This window comes from Homo sapiens, chromosome 1 (assembly GCF_000001405.40).
Source record: "Homo sapiens chromosome 1, GRCh38.p14 Primary Assembly".
NCBI lineage: Eukaryota > Metazoa > Chordata > Mammalia > Primates > Hominidae > Homo > Homo sapiens.
Genome location: NC_000001.11, coordinates 175547024 through 175569227, shown reverse-complemented (window position 1 = coordinate 175569227; position 22204 = coordinate 175547024). Strand labels below are relative to the sequence as shown.

The 22204-nt window shown below is 41.6% G+C and overlaps 1 protein-coding gene across 2 annotated transcripts in view, besides 2 other annotated features; it reads left to right on the top strand.

The window, feature by feature from the left end:
• Positions 1 to 22204, top strand: part of TNR (tenascin R) — a 428402-nt gene that overhangs the window by 174368 nt on the left and 231830 nt on the right. The gene's annotated exons all lie outside the window — the stretch shown is intronic.
• Positions 4466 to 4965: an enhancer, noted in NCBI's record as "H3K4me1 hESC enhancer chr1:175533399-175533898 (GRCh37/hg19 assembly coordinates)". NCBI's record gives its function as "activates a minimal SCP1, AML or CMV promoter by ChIP-STARR-seq in primed H9 embryonic stem cells {active_cell/tissue: H9 hESC(primed)}" and the evidence as "EXISTENCE:reporter gene assay evidence [ECO:0000049][PMID:30033119]".
• Positions 4966 to 5467: an enhancer, noted in NCBI's record as "H3K4me1 hESC enhancer chr1:175532897-175533398 (GRCh37/hg19 assembly coordinates)". NCBI's record gives its function as "activates a minimal SCP1, AML or CMV promoter by ChIP-STARR-seq in primed H9 embryonic stem cells {active_cell/tissue: H9 hESC(primed)}" and the evidence as "EXISTENCE:reporter gene assay evidence [ECO:0000049][PMID:30033119]".

The window sequence follows — 22204 nt, the reverse complement described above, 5'->3', positions numbered from 1 at the left end:
TTCAACTCATGTGCCTCTAATTAAATAAGAGAAAAATGGGATGTCCACAGCAAGTGCAATTGAGATGCAACTTTCTTCCTAGCCCTTTGGGTAGCGTTTTGCCATCTCCTAGAGGGTTAACTTATCGGCTTTCTTTGCCTTCTCTCATCCTCACTTTCAGTGCTGTGTTTCCTCTCCTTCCCGGCCAACCACGGGCCCTTCCTTGGCAGTCCCTGCATAGAAGGTAGAATAAAAATACTGAGACTAGAAAAAAAAGCCTCTTACTTAAAAAAAAAAGTGGACAGGGCAAGAGAGAGAAACCCTTCAAAGGAACTTTTCCTTAGTCTTGGCATCAAAATGAAGGCAAGCTCTTCCTTTTCAATGCAGTCTGCACTGAAGAGAGTGAAACTGCCTTGCCTTCATTGTATTCCATTTCATCTATCTGGAAGCCATTATGGCTTCCTTCAAGAGTCTCAAGTCCCTAAGAGGAGGGTTCCTGTGAACTCTAGCCTCAGCACATTGCTCTTCTGTGCACTGTGCCTTGCAGTAGAAACCGTGAACAGAGATGAAGTGACTTGCAGGGCTCCAGCAATTGATCCAGGATTGGATGGGAGGCCGAGGACTGGATACACGAGATAACAGGCTCCAGAACCTCAGAGAGTGAAATAAGCAGAAGGACCCATGCAAAGGGAGAGCACATAGTGCAAAGAGGCAGACAAGAGGTGCAAAGGACTGATGGATGGAGGGAGACAGATCATTTCAAATCTGAGCACCTCTTGTAAAGTGAAGGATCTTCTCTATGGGAAGGGATGGAGCTATTAACAGGACAAATTGATTGCCGAGGAATGCCCACAAAGCTTGTTTCATGGGCCCGAGGCTCTTTAAACAATTACATGAAACAGGTAGAAACTAGCTATCAACAAGGAAAAAGAAAAAAAAAAACAGCAGTTAGGCTTGTATGTTTAAAGAGAGAAAAGCAGTGATCCATCATCATACTTCAGACAGCTAAATAATTATTTACTATATGAGGGTGATAGTATATGAAAAGAAACCTGAAAAGCAGTCCTTGAATGGGCACCTGCCTGTCCACAGCTGGACCTGAGTGGGACTTTGCTCTGGGACCACAGAGGCTTGGGCTTGAGATGATCTGTCAGCTGTAAGAGCTCATGTTGCCTTCAGCAAGGTCAAACAAGAAACTTGAAAATATTTTGGCAGACTTATGTTATTGTAAAGAAATATACCTGCTAACTTGTTATTATCCCTGGTTTAGGGACATAAGGATGACAGGAAAATTGAAATAAAGAAATGGCCAGACTGCATTTTCATCATTAATTTCTCCAGTCTTTGTTTTCCTTGATTTTTTTTTAAGTTAAACTATAGGAATTGTGAGACTGGCAGAAGCTCATTAAGAACGTCCATCCCACTTCATTCACATGAAAGTATCAGAGATTCCTAGAATGATCAAGGAGTTGGAGGGCCATGCTTAGAAAGCCCCTACTTCTCTTGCAATTTCACAGGAGAGGCAAATGAGTTCCAGAGCAGGGAGGGGCTTGTGCAGGGCATACAGGGGCAGAGGTCCCAGGTTCCTCCTTCTCACTCCCCACTCTCTTCCACAAGACCACACTTTCCACCTTAGATAGAAAGAGTTCTTGATATGACATGAACATCACAACAGAGATGCTCCTCCCATGGCCATGTTAGACCCGCAGATGCTTCAACCATCATTTCCTCGTTGCCCTGGCTCTGAGGTGTTTTCTAAATAGCACATCACCTGACTGCTTGGGGGATGGCACAAGGTTCTGCTGCAAGTCAATCATCACAGTCCTCCGTGGCCTCCTGGGAGGCAGCCCTGAAAGGCTGTTTCTGTCTAGGTTGAACTTTCATTGTGCACATGCTAGCCCATCAGCCCGCAGCACTGTCAGCTCTCAGGGACTCGCTTGGCAGATGGTCCAGTGGAAATGCCTCGACATGGGCCACCTTTCCTTTTCCAATGCATACATCCCAGGCTCTTCTTTTCTCATAGGAAATTTACACTTAAATATTGTTCCAAACAAAATTAAACGTAATTATACACACATGATTTTTAGGAGATCTGAGGTCTTAAATTTTTCATGCCAAGGCTTGAACAGGAGGACTAATAAAAGGGTAACCACTGTAGGTGTCTTAAAGATCTTGAGATATCATTTTTAAAAATGCAACTCAGGCTGAGGGAAACAGGGCAGAAAATAAAAACATGAGTAATGGTTTTGTGGAAAAGAATATAAAGCCATGGGGGCTAATGGCACACAAGATGTGCCACATTTCAGTAGGGACAGTAGCTGCAGACATGATTTGATGCATTCTCTTTCTGTTCCCTAAAGAATACTTTGAAAAGTAACAGTCTAGGGACTAAAGTTATAAGAATTATTTTCTCCTTGTGGACAAAAAAACGTAGACTTATGATATTCAAGTGAGTAGGAGATTGCAGAGGGATGGAATAGATGGCAGGAGTGAGGTTGATTAATCTGGGGAATCAGAACGTGAGCATGCCTCATTCAGCAGCTGCCTGGCCATCCATGACATGGAGACTTCGTGTCACTCAAACACTCCGTGGTGACTGTAGGAGTCATGTTTCTGAAAAGAAAGAATTCAAGGGTAGGCAGTCAGAAGAGGAAGATCCCCTTCCAGCTGAACCCCCTTTCTCACTGGCAATCCCAGAAAATCTGCAGCAGGCAGCATGTGGCTTGGGGGCCCTATAGCTCCAAGGACTACACATGGACTCCCTCACTCACCTTCTACTCAGGGCCCATGTGCACCGCACAGGCTGTTCTCTTGCAAGGCGGGGCCTCTGCCAGAGACTCTCAAACACCGTGTTGTCAGCACTTTTCTCTGCCTTCACCACCCGCTCTCGTCCATCATACTTAACATGTAGCAAATGGATTCATTTGGATTTCATCTCCTTTTTATTTCCCCTACTCACCCCATTTTGGGATTGCTAGTAAACTACATCATAGGGTAAAAGGCTGGCAGCCAGGGGAAAAGAATAAAAATGCAAGTGCAGAGCTAATGAATTAATTGGATTTTGATGTACTAAGAGTCCATAATGAACTCTCGTTTATTCAGGGATATGTTCCCAAGCTAATGTGGTCTTCTTTATTTTCTTCCTTCTCTGCTTGAGGCTGAGTAATTTAGACCTTGTATAGAGCAACAAGGAGTTTTGTGGAAATAACACAAAACAATCAACCAGGATCTGATTGTCTTGTCTTTTCTTTTGAAAGCCTTTTCAAGATTCTACCTGTTGTCCATCCCCTATTAGATTGCCTGCTTTTTGAGGGCCAGGTCTGAGTCCAGTTTCAATTCACATCCTTCCTGCCTTTCATTCCCACCCAAAATACCTTATGAACATGACAACAAATGTAATTCGTTTTTTAGTAGTTTCATGGTATTTCATTGTATGATACACCATAATTTATTTAACTAGAATCATTATTGGACACATAGATCATTTTTCAGTATTTCTAACAGTACTTTGATGAGCATCCTTTTAAGTAAGTCTTGTGCACTTTCTTAATTGTTTTCTGAGGGTAAAGTCCTAGAAAGTAATGCTGAAGAAAAAAGTCAATGTGTGTCTATAAGGGTTTGGATACATGTCACTGATTTACACTCCAAAAGTATTATGCCAACAATGTATAAGTGTTCCGATTTCCCTGCACCCTCACTCAGGGGATCCTGGGAGGACATTTTCTAGGGTTGGATCTCAGTGAGAAATAACTTCCTTACGTGGAATTGCTCCCAGTGGGTGGCATTATTATTCAGTGCTTTTACCCTCGGCTCCTGATCTCTGGGTTCAAGCCCTTTCAAATCTAATACTGTATATTTGTAAAGGTCAACCTATTGTTTTCATCCTCCACCGGTTTGTCTGACCTCGTTTGTAGATTCACCATTTCTGTTCTGTGATGTCACCTCTGGTGGGGATGGGAGTGGAATGAGGAGGGAAATGCTAAAAAGACAAGAGCCCCAGAAAGAAGCAACGTATCCTCGCCCACTCTTAGAAAGACAGCACCCTCAGAAACAAAATGTCTGGCTTGGCAGAGTCATCCTGTTTGTCCTTATTTGTAAAAAGAAAAGAAAGCCAAACTTTTGTGATTTTCTTAAGATCCAGGATTCTTTATGGGCTGAACCATTTAAAACATTTGCTCTCAAACTAGAATAGTGAGCTCAGCTTTTAGCCTTGGATGCTATGTCATAATTCTGGTTTATGGCAGTCCCTTGGGCATTCCTGCCTTTTAGCCATTTATTACTAGACTGAGATAAAGAGGAGATAGATTTTGAAACAAAGTTAGTGGTGAAGGAAAGGGCAAGGGTGCAGGTAGAAAGCTGAAGAGGGAAGCCAGACATAGGGCAGGCAAAGAGCCAAGGGCAGAACAAGAAGCTGGCAGAGGGGTGAGAAAATTGGAGGTGAGTGCTTTATCAAAGCCATCTGGGTTCCCAGGGCCTGCCTGCTTCAATACAGCAAGAATGCAGAAGGGCTCAGAAATCAGTGTGTAGGTGTGTTCAGGAGTGGCCCCAGTCTCCAGCTGACCTCCCCTCCCCAAAAACCACCCCAAATAAACATTTAATTTCATGTGTTCCCTAAGCTCCCCCCTTCAAACCAAATTGCACCCTGAAGCCCCTCCTATATGGAAATTCTGGAGCTGTCCCCAGGAATGTCTAGAGTCAGCATCAAAATGTGCAACCAATACAACATTATTTTTAAATATTCTGAGCCTCTAGGTACCATTTGATATATTAATTATGTAATTTACTGATTAAGTGGATTAATAAAGAACCACCACTCACGAGATTTTCTAAGGCTCTTGACGAGGGATTTCTTTCCCATCCTGTAAACCACAAAAGGCCCCAGGAAAGCATAACAACTGAATGCTAATGAGGGAACCTCTGGGGCAATGGATCTGAATCCAGGTGCCCACTTCGCAGCCGCCCGTCCTGCTTGGGGTGGTCAGAGAGACAGGGCAGGCAGCAGGAGGGAGGCCCCAGGGCCTCTGGCAGGGAAGACACAGGTACAATTCATTTTCCATAAGCTGCCAAGTGCCTTGAAGAAGTCAGGGTCTTGGAGAGCAGAGTGGGATTTCTGCAATTTGGCTTGTTGATGCTTACAGATTGCCTTGAGAGCACTTTTAAAGCTAATAATTATGCTTTTGCTAATCGTTGTCTAAATCAACAACTGGTTCTCTAGAAAGTCTGACTGTGACTCTGGTCTAAAGAATGAAGATTCAGCACACACCAGTTTCTGAAGTGATGGAGGAAAGCAAACAAGCCTGGCTTTTCCAGGAGGTTTTGTGAACTTTGGAGAAGGGTGGCGTGAGCCTTAGAGAAAGCACTTTGCTAAAACACAGAGCTGTAAGACAGAACCTTTATCACCCAGCCAACATGTCAGAAAGGACCCAATTGTTCACAGTTGATTGGAAAATAGAAGGCAGGAGAGTGTGTGTGAGGACAATACCAGCACTCACAGCTCGTCTTTCTCATGCATTCCAATAGCGATGCGTTTTCCCAGCAGAAGTCTCCATGTTGCTCCTTGCCAAAAGCGAGGAATGAATTTGGAACTTGGGCCAAAAGAGCTTAGTATATATGTCAACACTCTATAGAGATTTGTAAGGCTGCCCTAATTTAATTGATGGATGCCCTCTTCATTAGGGACTGGGGGCTGTCAAAGTGGACATTGAGGAGGCTAAGCAAAGGGAGAAATTGGGCTTGTGTCACCTCTTTTGTTCTCAAGGCTAGTAACTGGTGTGTCTTTTAATACCCTTTGATAGGCTGTTGAGGAGCATGAAATAGGCAAACCGTTAGCTAAGGAATGAAGTGCTTTCGTGGGGATTGCTAGTTTGCTAAGTGTTGATGGATCTTGTCCAGAAAATACTGCAAGTAATTTTTGTGTCCCAAGAAATGTGTTGACTGCTTTGAAAACTTTTTGAATCATAGCCTGTGTTCATCCACTTGCCTTTTTACTGGCTTTCTCCATTCCCTTTTTCTGTTCCTGGTGTGGCCAATCTAAAAGAGGGCAAATTCCTGCCCTTCCGTTAATTGTATGAAAACATACTTTAAAAGAAGGAAAAGAGAGAACCATGTCAGATGTATTTCAGGCCCGTGCCAATGTCATGGACTCATTGCAAGACAAATTTGTGGGCACCCAAGAGACCCTTTCATGGACAAATACATTGCCTTGCTTGGCTGACTCTGCATGGGGTTATGGGATCAATCATGCTTCCTGATTCAACCTCTCCATTTGGTCAACCACTGATTCTATCGATCTCTTCGTGGAACTTGGCCAATCATTTGATTGAATTAATCAACCTGAGTGGCTGTTTTTGTTTTTGTTTTCCTAGTAGACACAGCCAATACCTCAGGTTATCATTAGATGTTTTACTTCTGGTGTTTGGAGCCTGGCAGAGAAAAAGCAAAATGGACTGCTCATGACAGCAGCTAAAACCTGCAGCTTGACATAGCCAGCCAAATCCCTCTGTCCCTTGTCAGACAGTCTGCCTCAGGAGGGAGACTTCCCAGTAGTGGCCTCTACTGAGCCCCAGTAGCTCTCCTTTGGCCATGCTGTTCTACCACATCCTGTCTCTTGTTCTCTGCAGGGTCCACCCAAGACTTGCATTTCTGCAAGAATTCCTTGGGTATGGTGTGTGTTCTCCCTTGCTTAGTCATTCAGCCATAACCTTTCCATTTAGAATTCTACCCTGCCAATGGTTCAGCTCCCTAGTTCAACATTTTACATTTATCTCTATTGAATTCCAGTTGCCTTCTGTTACAAGAGGTGCTTAAATTATCTCAGCCTTGCTCCTTAGGCTCAGACTCCAAGTCCAGAACAAATCTGTTTAGCACTTAGGAATCACTGGCCATGTGAGGCACTTGGGCATATAAATGTGTCTGAGTTGAGCATTTATTGAATGATGGTGAGGGTGGAAGGCTTGGTTAGAGAACTTGGGAGCCACTGAATTTATAAAATTTCCATCAGGCTTCTTCAGTGCTGGAGAAAAAATGGACCAGAAAAATTATTTAGATAGTGAGAAAATAAATATAACAATATAGCTTATAGGAAAGGAGAAGCTAACATTGTGAACACCTACTAGATTTGAGCACCATCATGTACATCAAAATATAATGTAGCCTCTTTTGCCAAGGAGATTTACAATATATTAAGTCATTAGCCCTCTTATCCTTCTTCCACAGGTGATGGCAGGAAGTCATGTAATTTTTCTCATATTTCACGGCTGGAAGTTTGCTTCAGAAAGGGGAAAGAGCTTGTGATATGTGAGGAGTGGTCCCTAGCTGAACTGGTCTATTCTAATATTCTTGCCAATGGATCATGGCCACTGAAAACAGACTCAGGGGCCCAGGTCTCACGGGCCTCACAGGTCTCCAGAATAAGGGACTGTGTACTACAACATTATACATACCAAGCCATTATAGAAAAGTCCCAGCTCTAATGTGGGAAGAAATGAATACGAATCATTCCAACCAGTTTCTTTCCTTAGATGCACTCCTATCATTTTGCAATCTAGATTTGATTGACTCTTTAAGGTCTGGACACAGCAGAGTTTGTTAGCTTCTGTGTTTTCCTCCTCTGAAAATCAGGTCTTAATTCAGGCTTAAGCAGATGACTATGGGATCCACTGAGCATCTCTAGTACCATAAAACCCTACCAATTATGGGGCCAAAGAGCTCAAGGAGGCTGAAAAGCCTCTTGCATCCATTAATTCATGATTTCCTTCTGGTTCTCTGCTATTCTTTGCCTCCATGTGAGTGAAGGGAACAGAAGAAAGGAGGAAGAAACCAATCATAGGAGGTGGGGCTGGCATGGAAGGCGATCTATGTATGATGATTATGCTGCTTTCCGATTGTTTGAATATTGGGCCCCATTATCTCCTTCAGAAGCAGACAAGCAATAGCATTTTTTCTGAAGAGATAGGAGAGAAATGAGGTGACATCCTGAAATAACAGTGAGGCAAGCCAGAACACTGTTCAGTGAATTCAATATATTAATACTATGTAGAAAGGATGGAAAGAGAAACACATAACCAAGGACAAATACAAAAGAGTATTATAAGCCTGTAAAAATAGTGCCAGACAGGCTAACACTCAGAATGAGCAGAGACTAGAAAAATGCCAGAGACAACAAAAACAGCTTTCAGTAGCTATGTTCTGAATTAGAAGAACAAGGAAGGGACAAGCTCACTGCTTGGGGAACGTTAAAGATGCAACGTTAAAGATGAGAAGAGAAAGGAGAATCACTCAAGTATTTTGTTTCTTTACCAAAAGGCAAGATCTTTCAACAGAGAGGAACAAAATCGATTTTGTTAAAATAATCTTGAAACTCAAACTGGATAAACAAATTTAAGTGGTCACCCAGAGGCTTTAAAAGTTTTCAAACCTGACAAGTTTTATGCCAGAATTTTAAAAAACTTGTACAAATGCTCATAAAACCACAATTTAGAAATGATTAAGGGAAAGATACCAAAAGACTAGAGATGAGAAAAACTAGATTTTTTGTAGAAAGAAAGCAGATTTCAGATTGTACAGCCTGCTGGATTTGATACTGATCATTATAGAAATCCTAAGATGAATTACTATTCAAATGGTTTATGGCCTCTTGGATGAGAAGCAGTAGTCACTAGAAACTAGCATGGGTTCACTGAGAACAAGGCATATTAAATGGAATCCCATTTCCATATTCCACCAGATTGCTAGTTATGTAAATCAGCTAAATACCGCCAATATGGCAAGGCCCCTGACAAAGTTTGCCTTGGTATTCTTATGGATTGAATGGAAATTGAGAGCTACATCATGGTTAATTGACCAGCCATGCGCAGGCAGCTGATTACATCAACATCTGAGAACATCTTGTCATAAATCACAGGGCTTCATCTTTGGCTGTATCCTCTATTTTATCAAGGATTTAGATGAAGATGCAGAAAGCATGATTATTGAGTTCATGGATGGGATAGCAGAGTTAGGACTCAAAATATATCTACAGACTATGGGACTGGCTAAAACTAACAAGGTGAAATTCAACAGGGGTAGAACTAAAGTTCTGCATTCAGGCTTAAAACAAAAGCTGAGCAGGTACAGACTGGGGATACCTGGTTTAAGAATAATTCATGTGAAAAACACTTAAGGTTTACTGTCTGACAAAAATATCAATGGCAGATTACAAGGTATAAGACTGATAAAACATTTTCTGCAATCTCAGACCACTGCTAGATGTAGTCTGCCCAGGACAAAAGAGGCAATCATCTCATTTCCCTGGACCAGTGTTCCTGACAACCCAGAACTTCTCCAGGGAGGACAAATACAATGATGAGTCATCTCAGAAGGTTGCCATAAGAGTAACTAGGCAATGACTGGTGGAGCTAAAGATATTTCTAGATATATAACCTAAAAAATTCTTGCACTTGTGTATAAGAAGTCACATATAAATATGCTCCTAGCAGCATTCATTGTTATGGCTACAAACAGAAATAACCTGAAGGTCCATCAACAGGAGAATGGATAAAGAAAATGTGGTATATTTATGAAACTCACAAACATAATCAGAATGGAAAAAGGAAGTTGAGTAAGAATACCTACAATATGATAGCATTTATTTACATCTAAAAACATGTACAATACTGATATGTATTCTTCAGTGATACATATGTACGAAGGAAAGTAATAAAGAAATTCGTGGGAGTGAGAACTACCAAATCCAGAGTAGTGGTTATGTCTCAGTGGAAAGGGAGGGCTAGGTAGTATGTGGTGGAAAAACACAATTTTCATTCTATTTAAAATGTTTTCTTTCTTAAGCTGGTGGTTGGATATATAGGTCCATATTATTTCACTCTGTTTATCATTTTCTATGTTTGAAATACAAATAATGCATTTTGAGGGAGGAATTTTAAAAACATATTATAATGAAATTCACATGGCATAAAATTAACAATTTTAAAGTGAACAATTCAGTACTATTTAGTACATTCACAGTGTGTGGAACCACCAACTCTATCTAATTTCAAAGCATTTCTATCACTACCAATGAAACCACATATCCATTAGCTAGTTTCTCTTCATTCCCCATAGAAGAATTTTTGTTCATTTGTTTGTTTGTATAGTGAAATTTTTTTAAAAAATAGATTTTTAGTTTTCAGAGTGGTTTTAGGTTCACAGCAGAAGTGAATGAAAGGTACAGACACTTCCCATGTGTCCCTACCCCAACACACGCACAACCTTCCTAGCTATCAACATCTCCCACCAGAGTGGCACATATGTTATAATTGATGAACCTAAATTGACACATCATTATTATACAGTTTGCACTAGGATTCGCTCTTGGTATACATATTTTGGGTTTGGACAAATGTATAATGACATGTATCCACCATTACAGTATCACACAAAGTAGTTTCACTGCCCTAAAATTTCTCGCTGCTCTGCTTACTCATCCCTCTCCATACTGAGTTTTTAAGTAGGGTGCTTTAAAAAAATTATAATAAAGAAGGAAAGAGGAAACATAATAACTATTTTTACACATCTTAAAATTTTTCCTATGGAAGAGAAATACAATTTTTATCCTGTAAAACTCCCATGGGATCAATAACGGTGTATCAGAAGAAGGAAAAGTTTGGTTTAACATAAGGAGGAACATTCTAACAAGATTGGAGCAGTATGTCATAGTAGTTCAGAATATGACTTTGAGTTAGAGTTGGGTTAAAGTCTGTTTAATGCACTCATTTTGGAAAAGTTGCTTAACTTCTCTGAGCTTTAGTTTCCTCATATTTATAGTGTAGATAATAATAGTACTGACTTAATGGAATTACTGTGAGAAATAATTTCAATGAAGCATATACATTATGGAGTAGTGAATAGCACAGAATAAGTGTGGCATAGATATAAGATAATTATTTTAAAAAAGAAAGAGTTGTCCATAGATAGAATGGCTATCTTTTTTTTTTATTATTATACTTTAAGTTTTAGGGTACATGTGCATATTGTGCAGGTTAGTTACATATGTATACATGTGCCATGCTGGTGCGCTGCACCCACTAACTCGTCATCTAGCATTAGGTATATCTCCCAATGCTATCCCTCCCCCCTCCCCCCACCCCACAACAGTCCCCAGAGGGTGATATTCCCCTTCCTGTGTCCATGTGATCTCATTGTTCAATTCCCACCTATGAGTGAGAATATGCGGTGTTTGGTTTTTTGTTCTTGCGATAGTTTACTGAGAATGATGATTTCCAATTTCATCCATGTCCCTACAAAGGACACGAACTCATCATTTTTTATGGCTGCATAGTATTCCATGGTGTATATGTGCCACATTTTCTTAATCCAGTCTATCGTTGTTGGACATTTGGGTTGGTTCCAAGTCTTTGCTATTGTGAATAATGCCGCAATAAACATACGTGTGCATGTGTCTTTATAGCAGCATGATTTATAGTCATTTGGATATATACCCAGTAATGGGATGGCTGGGTCAAATGGTATTTCTAGTTCTAGATCCCTGAGGAATTGCCACACTGACTTCCACAATGGTTGAACTAGTTTACAGTCCCACCAACAGTGTAAAAGTGTTCCTATTTCTCCACATCCTCTCCAGCACCTGTTGTTTCCTGACTTTTTAATGATTGCCATTCTAACTGGTGTGAGATGGCTATCTTGTATGACACTAAGCTTCTCAAAGCTATCAAAGTTCAAGTTGAGATTGGATGTGAACTGTCCAAGGTGCTGGGGAGAGGGAATTCTGCAAAAGGGATGTTAGGGTAAATGTTTTCTGTTATCCTCCTCACACACTGTTGAATCTAAACAGTCTTTGAAACTGAATAGCCATATTGTTGAGTGCTTCAAGTATGATGTATATTGGTTATTTATTGCTGTGAGTAATATTATCACAAACTTAGTGGCTTAAAACAACACACATTATCATACCACTTCCGTGGGTCAGGAGTCTGTGCATGGCTTTGTTGGGTCCTCTGGCTCAGGGTCTCATCTGAAAGCTGCAACCTAGATGTTGACCAGGACTGTGGTCTCTTCTCAATTGGAGAAAGGTCTGCTTCCAGTGTCATGTGGTTGTTAGCGAATTCATTTCCTTCTGGCTTGTTGGGCTGAAGGCCTCAGATTCTTGCTGACTGTCTGTGAGAGGCTGCCTTCAATTCCTGATTATTGGGCAGTGGGGAGACATCCTCAGCTCCCTGTCTTATACTGGAAACATAGACCTTTCCAATGTGCCTTCTTGCTTCATCAAAACCATCAAGGGAGGGAGTCTGCCAACAAGATGTCACAATTGTACACAACATAATCATGGAAGTGACATCTCAACACTTTTGCTATATGGTGTTGGTTAGAAGAGCATCAATGGTCCCACACACACTCATGGCGAGGAGACTACATAAGGGGATGAGTACCAGGAGGCAAAGATCATGGGGACCATTTCTGAGTTTGTCTATCCAAGGAAGGGGACTGTGCTGAGGACACCGGAGTATTAGTGCCTCCCTGGGTACCATGAGAGGGGGCAACAGAGGAGTCAGACACACATGCACAAATACAGAAAAGCACAGCTGAGACTGAGAAGGAGCAAGAGGAGGAGAGTCAGGGAGGCTGAGAGGCTAAACAACCAAGAAAGCAGAGTTCAGAGAAGGTGAGTGTAACAGGGACGCCCAGGCTTACTGAGCAGCCATTGTGGATAATGGGGTCCTGCTTGAAGACAGGACAGGCTACACCAGGAGTCTTGCCAGAAAAGGTCTTGTTTTCACAGAGTTTAGAGAGACAGTTTTTCTCATAATGTATTTTGGTACAAGTTGGATTTAGAAAAAGATGAAAGATGCATGCTAAAATCAGGCTTGGTTCTGTACCAGGCAGTATACCAGTCCTTTACGCACTTGAATATGCTTTGTCCTTCATGGACATTACTTGTGTTGTGCTATATGTGGCTAAAACTGCCTACTAACTGATGTGGGTGTGTTGAGCTTGGTGTTTAGATTGTTAGCCTTCTGATGAGGAGGTGGAAAAGAATCAAAAGGCAAGGAGCTGAGGCCAAAACCAAAGGATGGCCTTCCCCAGTGGCCAAGGAGCCCATCTTCAGAATGGCTCTGTATTTCATTACATGCCAAAAAGGCCGTCGGTCTTCTTATTTGGAGATGTATTTGCAGAGGGGCCCAGGAACTCAAGTTGCAGCCCTGGCTGCCCTCAATTCAATAATTTCTACATGATTATTCTATATAAGTATCCAGGGGTGGAGCAGGCTGTCTGAGCCTATACGCCTTGCTTTGAATAAGATCTAGAGAAGCTTCAAATCATTGAACAACAGATTCATGTAAAGCTGGCACTAAGATGGTTGGTGATAATCTTATAGCCACACAACTCATGGTTGGAAGGAGCCTTCTAGCCAAATCCTCCTATCAAGGCTGAACTCAGGGATAAGCTGAACTTGGGTCAGCTACTTTAGATTCTTCATGGTTTTACGCTTCTTGTTTTTCATTAATAGTAAAGTAAGGAGATTTTTAAATCTCTGGAAAACGAAGATTCTATTATGAATTCAGAAAATGGGTACAAGAGCTTGGGTTTGAGACCAAATACCCTTGACAATATTTTCCCCAGATGACTAGCTCATGGTGTGTTTCAGTTATCATTCCATCAGTAGAGCTGAATTTTGCATCTTGTAAGTGTCTTCATCTCAACTCAAAACCTGAGGAGATTTTTTTTTTTTTTTTTTTCTCTCAGTTGTCGGTGAGTCAGCACTAATGTGCTTATGAATCAGGCAGTGTGGGCGAGCCACACATTCATCAACACTCTGGAATAGAGGGGCAGCCCAGGAGCTGATGTCTTTATAGAATACCAGGGGAGTTCTTCCAGGTGTGGGCCTAGCCTGAGAGGTTTTATTAGGAACTAGAAAATGTGCTTCTAAAGGAGTAACTGGAGTTGTCTATCAGCTCCCCTTCTGACACTTGCAAGAATTTGACTACCTCAAATATCTGAGATTTTTCCCCTCTGTATGTATCTATAGGGGGTGGGGAAGAGCAAAGGGGAGAAAAGCAGGGACCCATGGAATATCTCCTCTGGGCCAGGCACTGTGTAATGTTCTCTTCTAATGTTGTCTCATTTGACATCTACCATTCCCTCTTTTTTGGCTTTCTTGAGCTTGCAGCACCTAGGACTATGCTTAATCCATACTGGAAAATCTATACAAGTTGCTTAACTAAAAAGAGTTAAATCATCACATGGAGGATAAAGGAGCACTGGCCAGAGAGTAAAGAGACCTGTGTTCTAGCCTAGCCCTTCCCGACTGCTGGATGACCTTGGCATAACCATTCACTGTGCACCACAGATTTTCCATTCATAAAATGAGAGGGTGAATAAGATGATCTCAAAGGCTCAATGAGCTCTAACTCCCAATGGTTTTATGATTGAATAAACATAGGAGTGGGAGAATCCTGGATTTCACAATGGAAGAAACAACTAAAACAAAGAGAAGCATTCTACTTAGCAGCTCACTCTCCTCAGATATGGACAAGCTCAGGGGTGGGGGCTGGAGAAATCATGGAGCTGGGAGCCTGTCCTTAGCAGGGCCAGCATCCCCATGAGCCATGCCCAGAGCCTTAGCCACCAAATACTGCACTGCCACAGCCAGCTCTTGGCAAACACAATTTTGCTTGAGAAGGCAACAAGTAACTAGCTACAGGAGAAATAATTACCAAATTGCCAGAAATAATTATGATTTCCAAACAAATAGAACCCTATGCTATCTGTCAATTCCCTGAGAAAATATACACTCACAAAATTACAAGCAAGAGCTCATTACCTGTACTCTGATGAGCACCAGCCTCAAAATATGCCTTGATTTTAAAAAGTCAGAAATGAAGAAAGGATATCTTTTTTTTTTTTTTTTTTTTGCCATGTAGGACATCTTTTTGTTAATCCCTTAGGAAGATGTATAAGCATGTATTTGTGCACTCATGCACAAACCCAAGTTTAGAGATAGGAGTGCCATCTGTAAAGTAGAAATGATAGCACCTTTGACTCTTGGCTCAGCCTACAGCATTAGATTTTGTCTGGCAATGCAGAGCTCTGACTCCACTCCATACTTAGCAAGAACAAAAGCTAACACAGAGTGAATATATGCAGCGGGCCTTTGAAAAGTATTGAAAATGCCAAGTCACTGGGTGTTTGACCAGCAAGGAAATATGCCCATTTCCAGCCATCCCATGAGAGAAGAAAGGTGGCCTGTTTGTGGCCATTTTTCATCAGCATTCAGCTCACTGCAGTTGTTCATTTTGTGGGATGCCTAGAGTTTAAGATAATGCATTTGTTCTGCCCACAGAATGACAGTATTTCCATTGGTGCATTTTGAATCCTGTTTTTCCAGAATTGGGTAATTATTGTTTGTGTGTGTGTGTGTGTGTGTGTGTGTGTGTTTGTTCTTGTATATGCATATGTATGATATGTATGTATATCTACACGAATGTGTGTGTGTGTGTTTTAAGATGGGCTGAAATTATTTATCATACACTCAAGTCCCCTAACAAATTCATTCTTAGAGCCACTTTATATTATTATTGTATTTTTCTTTCTTTCTGAATTAAAAATGCTGCAGAACTGAGGAGCTACTCTCATCTTAATTACCACAGAAATATTGCTAATTAGAAACAAGGGAAGAAGTGTTAGGGATTTCTCAGAATCAAAGACAGCATTATTTTCCAATGGATATTAAAAGACTTGCAAAAGAGGCTAAGATGATGTGGTGGATAGAGTTGTGAAGTGGTTTTAGGGCCCCAGTGGTAAACGGCTGGAAGAGGAAATTAAATATCTAGGAGGAAAATGTTCTCAGATGTTGGAATTATGCCTGCAGCCATAACACTGGATGCTGTGATCCTGTCTACCTCAATCACAAAATGGATCAAGAAATCTCCAAGGAGTCTGAGGGTGGAAAAAGTGTTGGTGGCTCACACATGAGCCTTTCTAATCCCCTTAGCCCTCAGCAGCCATTGAGGGTGGACACAAACCCTAATGTTTTGAATACAGTGTGTTTCATCCCCACCACTTTTCCCATCTCATTTTTTCCACCATTTCTTTAGCCTCAAACTTAGTGTGTGCTTGAGGAATAAATCAAAAGATTAAAATATGATGTGAAATCTATCTTCAGTGATGTATTTCATGTGCCAGAGCCCCTGTGTTTGTGGAAGACTGAACTGGATGAACAGAGGTCCAAGCAGATCATATGTGATGGCCTGGGTGCCTCATGGTTCTCATCAAGAGGGCTCTCAGGTCTAGTTCAAATTCCCAGGCTGTAGACTGGCCAGGGTGGCCACTTCTAACCATGAAGTCAACACTATACTCACGGTTTATCTGATTAGGCTCAGTGTTCAAATGTTTCAATTCCTGAAGCCAAGAATTAAATCTGGAGGCACGAGAAAAGAAGCAGGAATAGGATCCAAAAAGTCAGAACGGGAGTAATTCAGGAACAGGAAGGAAAAAGTTAGGAATTGATGTGGTGGACAGACAGGGGAGATAAAGAATAGAAAGACTCAATATCACAAAATTAGAAGACTTCAAATAGACAATGTACCAGAGATAATGACTTCTTCCAAAATCGTGCCGTATTTCCCCTTGCCTTACATAGATGGCTTCAGTCAGCCCATGAAGTAGCAGATAGTTTGGAGTCCAGGCTGTGTGACAATGAATAAGCCAATCAGCCTCTAAGAGTTCCAGTTTCTTCTCTGTACAAATTCCTCACCCTGAGTACTGCACATGGTTGTTAGGAAGATCAAACGAGATAACATATGTGCAAGGACTTTGTAAACTGGACAGCACCATATGGGTAGAAGACATGATTACAGTTTTGTCTCAGCTCTCTGCAGTTGGGTCCTGCCATTCAGAGCATTGTGGGGGTTAGCAGAAGGAACTGGAGGTATATGCTCACCTGCAAGGACATCACTGTCAAGTCAGGTTAAAGTTATCAGAAACAATGCTTTTCCACCTCCCACCCCTACCATGGGATGAGAGGAGAGTGTTCTTATTATCAAGGTACTGTGTAAATTAGATAGTTTTCTATGGCCTCCTACCTACCGACATGGAATTGGAAAAGTCAAACAATACTATAAGATTTTTCACACATAAAAAATGATTTCCTGGCTCATTCCTCCTCAACCCTGAGGGCTGTTCCTCAGGGGCAACAACTTTTAGCCATTTATTTTAGTATTTACCTGAATAAGTTTAGATAAGATATTTATAAGGCTATTTCTTGAGTATGTTTTTGCTTTTCAAATGTAGAAATCATATGTTGATTTACAACTGTGGAAGGTAAGGATTTAGACCCTTACAACCCTCCCTCCACTCCATTCACCACACACACTCACACAGGTGCACACACGTTGCCCCTCCCCATTCTTCCAATATATGTAGTTAATTACAATCATTGTTTAAGTTGATATTTTGTATTTTCATTATTTTACCTTTGTTAGTATTATTCACAACAAAGCAGTGTCGAGACCAATGATCACATTTCTCCACTTCTATAACTTATTGGTTGTCCTGGAGTTTAATTTTTAATCTTCTCATTTTTCTTTGTTCTTAATTACAATTGTTAGCAAACCCTTTGACAAACCATATTGAAAACAAATAGGTACTCCAAGCCATGTGTCATTTGTGCAATTTCCTGGGAGATGTTCCCGACCTGTTGACTGGTTGCTTTCTAAGTCTGCAACACTCAGCCTTCTGAAACTCCCTTCACTGGCACCCCAGTAACCCTTTTCCTTTGTCCTCTTTGAGATTCTCTGATTTCCAGACCCAGTGCTTTCCCCCTTTTTGGATTATTCCTTTGTTTTGTGGCCTGCATCCTCCACTAGCTTCCTTAGAAATGGTGCATCAGAGGTAACTTTTTTGAGACTGAGGGCTTAATATCTGAAAATGCAATTATCCCTCCCTCACACTTGATAAGTAATTTGATTGAGTATATATCATTATGCTGAAAATTGTTTTCACTCAGAATTTTGCAGAAACTCCTCCATTGTCTTTTAGAACCCAGTGTTGCCTTGGAAGTCAGATGCCATTCAGATTTCTAATATTTTGTCACCTGCCTTTTTTCTCTGGAAGTTTCTAATGAGATCCTCCATAGAAGAGAACTTTCTTATATATTTCTTTAATAATTTTCACTCAACCATTTTCTTTGCATTTCTCTTTCTCTGACTCCTGTTGGTTGGAAGTTGGACCTCCAGGGATGGATCACCTAATTTTCTTATCTTTTCTTTCCTATTTTCTATCTTTGTGTGCTATTTTCTGGGAGATTGCCTCACTTTTATCTCCTACACATGGTGTCAATTTAAACATTTTTCCCTGTTATCTTAATCTTTAATATCCAAGAGCTTTTTCTTGTTTTCTGAATGTGTCCCTTTGTAAGTAGGATCCTATTTTGTTGTTTCATGGATGAAATATTGTTTTTGCTTAGGTTTTTTTTTTCCTGTTCCCTGCATTTTCTGACTCTCATTTTCTTCTTTGTTTTGATTTTTTTCTATACTAGAGATTTCAAATGTCTGCTAATTTTTTTTCTAGTCATGTCTTAAGTATAAAAGAGGTACAAAAAGCTGATTATATGCTGTGTGCATATCCGTGTGTATACATGTGCACACATGGAGTGGAAGTAGGGTAGGGAGAAGCATTATCAGCTTCATTTCTACAGAGACATTGTTCCAGTCTCCTTCCCAAGGGGGTGAGGGAAAGGGGAAAAGGATGGGGGGTGAGGGGGGAAGAGTTCCATGGCTCAGTATAGGGGCCTCACTTAATACTCCTGTTTTAGTACTTCACCTCACACCTACTATTCTTTGTGACAGATGTCCTCAAGTCCAGAGTCTATCTGATTCAGCATCTCAGAGGGTAACCATTTGCCTCCTGTGGAGGTGAGGGTTGGAAAGTTGTTTGGCTGGGTAGGGGCAGAGAGGGGACTCTAGGGAGTCCAGCAGCTCCTCATGCAGCCTCCTGCCTAGTCTTCCGGTTTGCAGTGTCATGTGCACCCCATTCTTCAGAGGCACTTGTCTCTCTACTTCCTGAGTCCCAAATCAGATAGTTACTTTTTGGCTTCCCCTTCTGCAGGTGCTTTTTCTGTTCTTCTAAATTAGTGACCTATGTCTACCTGTTTCTCATCTTGCAAAATTTGTTGGCCACCTCTCCTCTGTTGTAATAGCCTCCCTTTATGGGCTTAAATCTTTATTACTTTTAGAGAGTGTGTTAGCTCTCTATTGCTGCACAACAAATTATCACAAAAATAGCAGGTTAAAACAACACAAATTAACTATCTCACAGTTTTCCTGGGTCAGGAGTCCAGGGTGTTTTAGCTGGGTACTTAGCTCAGGTTCTCAGACTGGGATCATGGTGTTGACCAGCTGCACCCTCATGTGAAAGCTTGACTTAGGGAAAGACTGTTCCAAGCTACTCCAGGTTGATGGCAGAATTCATTTCCTTGTAGTTGTAGGGCTGAAGTCCCCATTGTTTTGCTGGCTGTTGATGAATCTCAGATCCTTGCTATGGGCCACCTCCACTCAGCAACAGAGAACCTCTCTTGCATTGTATTTCTTTCATGCTTCCCTCTCTGCAACAAGCTGAAAAAAAGTAAGGCTTTTAAAGTTCTCATGCGATTAGGACAGGCCCACCTCTATAATCTTTCTGTCTTAACACCAAACTGTGTCATGTAACATAACCTCATCACAGGAGTAAAATCTGATATTCATAGCTCCAAGGATTACACAGAGCATGTGTACCAGGAAGGGAGAAATCTTGCAGGCTATCTTAAGATTCTGCCACCACAGTGTTGAGATTTTTAGGAGGGAGCAGAAATAACTATGTATGTCTAATCCACCGTGTTTGATTAGAAGGTTCTCATACCCTCATCAATGCATTGCTATTGTTATTGCCTTGCCGTTTTTAATATCAGTGTTTGAGACATTACAACAAACTTGACTCTGAACATTTCATGTGTGAGTGGTGCTCCCTTTAGTTATGGCCCAGGAAAAACAAGATTTCCTTCTCTCTCACCCAAATGAGTAAACCTCATGTACCTAAGGACCCAAAGCAGACCCTCAGTGGGCTCCCCTGTTCCCTTCCTATCAGGGGCCTGGGGGCCAGACTGGAGCAATGGAACTCTGTTTTGTTATTAATGGCACACATAATCAGGTGGCTCTGCTGCTCCTGGCACGTGTATGGATTTTGTGTGCTGGTCCTAGCAGCTGCATGAAGATATTACCAATGAGAGACAGCTCCTTGGCACAGGGACATGGTGATTTTTCCTGTCTTGGCAGATCCCAGTGCTAGTTGTTGTATTCAGTGATGAATCACTAATTTCCAGAAACCTTGACTGGAACCTGAAGGCAGGAAATAAATGTGATTGGGAGTGTTGCTCTGAGCATTCCAGCAGATAAATGGCCAGTCATGACTAAAAGGTGGTTTTACATTTTCTAAGTGTAATCAAGTGAGATGTAACCAATATTCTGTAGTTCATTAGCCTCATGTCTTCTAACCTTCACTGTCGGGTGCTCCCCAGTAGAGAGGCTCCCTGCCCATCCCGCCTTTTTTTTTTTTAATTTTGCTTACAGTAAAACCAGGAGGAGAGCCAGTAGCAGGTAACCAGCAGAAAGAGGGGCCCTGAGGGGAGAGAAAGGTCATGCACAATTTGGTCTTAGATTACAGGGAGAGAAGAGAGAAAGAGCGGATATAGGAAGAGGGACGAGACTGACACAGGGGAGAGTGGTCTGTTTTGGAATCTTTCTGATGCTGGCACATTTCTCATTATAGCCAACTTGGCATCAGTAAACCAATGAAATGTGTGCAATATTTTGAGGAAATTCATCGAGGAGACTCCTCGTGCAGCTACTAGATAGAGTAGCAGCAGGGCATGTCTTACTCTATATACCATTCTGCCTTCATTCTTAGCAAGGGTCTCTGTGCTTCCTCTTCAGAAAATCCACTTTATTCACTGTCCTGGGAAAAGGAGAGTGGAGAGACAGGGTTCTAAAACTGTAGACATGGGGTTCTAAAACTGTATTCTAGGGAGGATCTGAGATTCCTCTCCGCAGAAGTGCCCAGAGCCTCTGCGTAAGAGCCGCCTCAGTTGTGCCAGATGCATGGTCCACCTGGTCCACCATGGACTCAACGAGGACCTAGCTGTTGTCTCGCCTGGATGTGATTTGAACAGCTCCCCACCAGGTCTCTTTGCCTTTGGTCTTTGCCCACATGAATCCACCTTTCACGCAGCTACCTTCAGCTTTCTACAACCCAAATTTAATCATGTTAGATCCATACTTAAAAATTTTTTATGGACTTTAATTGTTGACAGAGCCAAGTCCGAGGCCAAATTTCTGAGCATTGCATTCAACGCTCTCTACAGAGTGGCTTTAACAGTGTCAATTCCAGCTGCTGTGCCCCATACACCTATGCTATAGCCCCACTGACTTGCACTTCTCATGGAATCACTCTGCACTGTCACACTTTGGTGCCTTTGCACATGCTTCTCCTTCTGTCTAGAGCACCCTTTTCTTTCTTTTCTCTTTCTTTTTTCTTTCTTTCTCTCTCTCTTTCTTTCTTTCTTTCTTCTTCCTTTCTTTCTTTCTCTTTCTTTCTTTCTTTGTTTCTTTGTTTCTTTCTTTCTTTCTTTCTTTCTTTCTTTCTTTCTTTCTTTCTTTCCTTCTATCTTTCTTTCTCCTTTGTCTAAATGAGAGAAAGCATGCCACCCATCCTTCAAGTATCAGCTCAGTCTCACTTCCTCTGCAGATCTTTCCTTACCACTGATTCCTACTTCATCTTTTCCTCCTCAAGGCACACAGGGGTCTGCAGACTGGGCTAGCAATTAATTAAGGAGAAGTAAAGATTATAGAAGCTCAAAGTTGTGGGGAAGGGGTTGAAGTTATAGACTCTTCCAAGGAGGGTGGCGACAGTCCCACATAAAAGGGATTTCAGGGCCATGTGGCTTCAACATGACCCAGGTGGGGATCAGTCAGATGTGGAGGACACTGGGGCAGAGATGCTGATATCTGAGCTGCTGGAATGAGCTGTCTCGGGTGCTCCTGGGTCAGGAATCTGCTACGCAGGCTTGCAAGAGGCAAAGGGGCCTACTTGAAGACAGAGGACCTCTGCCATACATAAGAAAGCTAATGTGTATGCTGTGCCTGTCTGGATAGTGGTACCTCCTAAATGGAGTGTCAGGATGAGCTAGAAAGACAAAGTA